This window comes from Homo sapiens, chromosome 3 (genome assembly GCF_000001405.40).
Source record: "Homo sapiens chromosome 3, GRCh38.p14 Primary Assembly".
In the NCBI taxonomy this organism is placed as follows: Eukaryota; Metazoa; Chordata; class Mammalia; order Primates; family Hominidae; genus Homo; species Homo sapiens.
This window is the reverse complement of record NC_000003.12, coordinates 164864145-164868280: the sequence shown is the minus strand read 5'-3', so window position 1 is coordinate 164868280 and position 4136 is coordinate 164864145. Positions and strand designations below refer to the sequence as shown.

Here is a 4136-nt window from a genome sequence, read left to right as displayed (position 1 = left end):
TTTCTACGTTGATAAAATAATTGGAACTGACCATTGAGAATTCTTTCACATTTGTCCTTTTCATTTCAAATGTTTCCATATCTTCAAGTATTTTATACTCTCTAGTTTCAGAGAAACACTCACTTTAACAACTGGTCTCATTCCGGCTCAATATCCTCAGGATTTCCCTATTCCCTTTGCATCTTTTTAGTAATTTTCCCTCTAGTTACTCCTTTACATGGCCTCTAAGAACCTAACAAATTCATTCCTTGACTGTGCTCTCCTATTTCGTGTCTTTCTAGGTCTAAGTCTTTGAATACATAAGGTATCCATGTTCCCTATGCTCTTTTGCATCTCACTCCATTACCTGCTGTGGGCTCTGTCAACAACCCTCATGAAAATATTCCACAAAAAAGGTTATCAATTACAAACCACATGCTTAGGATTTATTTCAGCTAGACTCTCTATTGCATTCAACTGTGGGGCTGCTTGCTAGCTTGAGGTTATTGTGGCATTCTTAATCCTTGATCAGTTTTGCTCCATATTTGTGATACTTTATCTTCTTTTACCCTACACTTAATGTGTACACACTTTCTATCTTCAATAATGTTCTCCTTCTTAACTAGTCTCACTCTCTCAAGCTTTATATCTACTTCAATATTCATTTCTATATTAAAGTTTCATTCATTATTATACTTTATACAAATTAAGTTCTCAATAAATATTTGTCAAATGGAATTGACTTGAAGCACTGTGTCTTATTCCTGAACTTTATCCTTTCTGATTTGAACCTATTAAGTGGGACTGGCATGGCCATGAAGAAGGACACTGTCTCCTGCAAAGTATCTGCCTGATGTATTAGAACAATGGGGCATAATCGGAGTCAGCAAACCCTACTTCATTTAAAGATCATATAGTCTGCAAGAGAAACAAAACTATTTTCTATAAATTTCCTACCATAGGTAACCACACTTTTTTCTTCTCCACATTAACGGAGAAAAGGAAATATGACAAACTTAGAGCTAAAAATACATGCTGGCTTTCTATGAACAGTGTAAAGGCTTTTTTTTTTTTAAAGTGAAATATTAAGCAAAAGCATTAAAAATCAGTACACTTTTATTGAATTAATTTCTCTTTGTGATTCTTTCCACTGCCCACCAAAGTCACCTTAGTTCCTCTAAAGCTTGAGTCAAGACTTACCTTCAAGTTAGTTCTTTTTAAAAGAACTGATGCTTGGGCCAGGTGCGGGGGCTCACCCCTGTAATCCCAACTTTGGGAGGCAGAGGCGGGCAGATCACAAGGTCAGGAGATCAAGACAATCCTGGCTAACATGGTGAAATCCCGTCTCTACTAAAAATACAAAAAATTAGCCGGGCATGGTGGCGGGCGCCTGTAGATCCAGCTACTCGGGAGGCAGAGGCAGGAGAATGGCGTGAACCCGGGAGGCGGAGGTTGCAGTGAACCCGGATCGCGCCACTGCACTCCAGCCTGGATGACAGAGACAGACTCCGTCTCAAAAAAAAAAAAAAAAGAACCGATGCTTAATCCACACTTGTCCTGTCAGCTCACAATTGCTTTGTTTCTTTTATTTCCACTTGAATTATGCACATACTGGGTTCCTCAGACATTTTCTATTACTTGGTTAAAGATACAGTAGAATTCTTTATACCGAATTTTATGTACAGTATTTATTTCATAATGATAAAAGTAAATAAAATGTTTATATGCAAAACGTATTTCATAAAATATATAGTAGTTCTAATAAATTTTAGCAGGTGGAAGGATTATTTTATTCAATATGTTTAATTTTATGCATTTAGTGGTGCGGAGGAATGACAGTTCAGAAAAGATCCTAGGACCTAATGCACATTAACTGCTTTTATTTAATTATAATAATTTTATTTGTTGATGCATCATTGCCTTATAGACAAGAAAAAATCAATCTAAAATAGCAGATAAAGTCTATTTGAAAAGAAAAGCAAAGCTAAAATTGCCAAAGAAAAAAAAAATCTGATGGCCCAGATGTCAGGATATATTATTAGTTTCAAACGAAAATCCTTGAAATCTTTTTTTTTTTTTTTTTTTTTTTTTTTTTTTTTTTTTTTTTTTTGAGACGGAGTCTGGCTCTGTCTCCCAGGCTGGAGAGCAGTGGCGCGATCTGGGCTCACTGCAAGCTCCGCCTCCCAGGTTCACGCCATTCTCCCGCCTCAGCCTCTGGAGTAGCTGGGACCACAGTCCCCCGCCGCCATGCCCGGCTAATTTTGTTTTTATTGTTTTTGTATTGTTAGTAGAGACGGGGTTTCTCCATGTTAGCCAGGATGGTCTCGATTTCCTGACCTCGTGATCCGCCTGCCTCGGCCTGCCAAAGTGCTGGGGGATTACAGAGAGCCACTGCATCCGGCCGAAAGTCCTTGAAATCTTAAAATTCATAGCATTGAGTTTTCATTAGGAAGTATACATATTTAGGAAAATTAGTAAACATTTAGTATGTATTACCAAAATCTATACTACGAAATGTATAAAGTAAGACTCCCTTTAGCAGTCTCTGTCAAGAGTTTAAAGCAGAGTTTCTCAAACCTGACTGCCCGTTATCACTCCCCGGGGAGACTTGACAGGTATCATTGCTGAGGACTCAGTCCCAGAGATTCTGATTGAATCAGCCTGGATGGCATCCCTGGAATGGCAGTTTTTAAAAGCTCCCTAGGAAATTCTAATATTCCGCAAGGATGAGAACCACTGGATAGAATTAAAAGTATGGGTTTTTGGTCACTATTAGCACATGTATAAGTATATAAATATATTTTATTTTATTAAAATGCACAGAAACAAAGTACTAGACAGGACCTTACCTATCTCTTATTATATTTCTGCTTCTGCTTTGGTTACCACCAATGATAAAATAATTCAGTATCTGGCATCTTTTTGTTTGTTTGTTTGTTTTTGTTTGTTTTTTGAGACGGAATCTTGAGCTGTCCTCCAAGCTGGAGTGCAGTGGTGCAGTCTTGGCTCACTGCAAGCTCTGCCTCCCGGGTTCAGGCCATTCTTCTGCCTCAGCCTCCTGGAGTAGCTGGGAATACAGGAGCCCGCCACCACGCCCGGCTAATTTTTTTGTACTTTTTAGTAGAGACGGGGTTTCACCGTGTTAGCCAGGATGGTCTCGATCTCCTGACCTCGCGATCCACCCACCTTGGCCTCCCAAAGAGCTGGGATTACAGGCGTGAGCCACCACACCCAGCCTCTGGCATCTTATAGTCAATCAAAAGGTACCTGTTGAGCTGTGAATTGGACTACCTGCTGATGCTCATGCATCATTCTTTTGTCATATTCTTCATCAGTGTTTTTAAACATAAAATATTTTCCCACTGCATAATCAGTGCTATCACTAAAGGAAATAAAAATATTTTACCCCAAAATATATTTCTTTGACATATTTTGAAATAGCTATCACAGGGCCAGCTGAATGAGGTGGGGAAAATTTGCCTCTGTAGAGAATCTACATTAAATCAGCCAAGCCTTCTTTTTCTAGGCCTTTCTCAGATCTAGGAGACTTTAACTGGGACTCTGACACCTTTAAAGATCTGAAAAGAAACATTTACTGTCTATTCTCTCTGAGGACTAACACCTATGAGGCTTTATCTACATAACAAGGCTACCTTTGCTAGCCAGGCCCCTTCCTTTCTTCCTCCTATACCTGTCTCTCTGCTGAAACTTGATTTACCAACATAGTATCTTTTGGGCTGTGCTCTGAGCCAGCATTCTTAAAAGATGGTATATCATTTCTGTACCTCACTGGGAGGTTGGGTCTTCATTTTGAAGACTCCCTTGTATACACGTCAAATAAATGTGCATACTCTAATTCAATTCAATTCTGACACTCTCTACCTGAAGATAGCATCAGATACTAGACATTGAGGACTCATTTCCACAAGGCTTCTTCCCACTTCTGATGCCAATAAAAAAACCCAGGTTGTTTTACTTTACCTGTATTTCCTACCAACTGATTATAAGCTGGGGCTCCCACAGCTGCCTCCTCAGGTTCAAATAATTTGCTAGAGGAGCTTATATAACTCAGGAAAACACTTGATTTTCATTTATCAGTGTATTATAAATAATATTACAAAGGATACAGGTTAAAAGATGCATAGGGTGAGATACGT

At 38.9% G+C, this 4136-nt stretch overlaps 1 annotated feature.

Annotated features, from left to right (window-relative positions):
- Positions 3207 to 3857: an enhancer, noted in NCBI's record as "OCT4-NANOG hESC enhancer chr3:164582212-164582862 (GRCh37/hg19 assembly coordinates)". NCBI's record gives its function as "activates a minimal SCP1, AML or CMV promoter by ChIP-STARR-seq in naive H9 embryonic stem cells {active_cell/tissue: H9 hESC(naive)}" and the evidence as "EXISTENCE:reporter gene assay evidence [ECO:0000049][PMID:30033119]".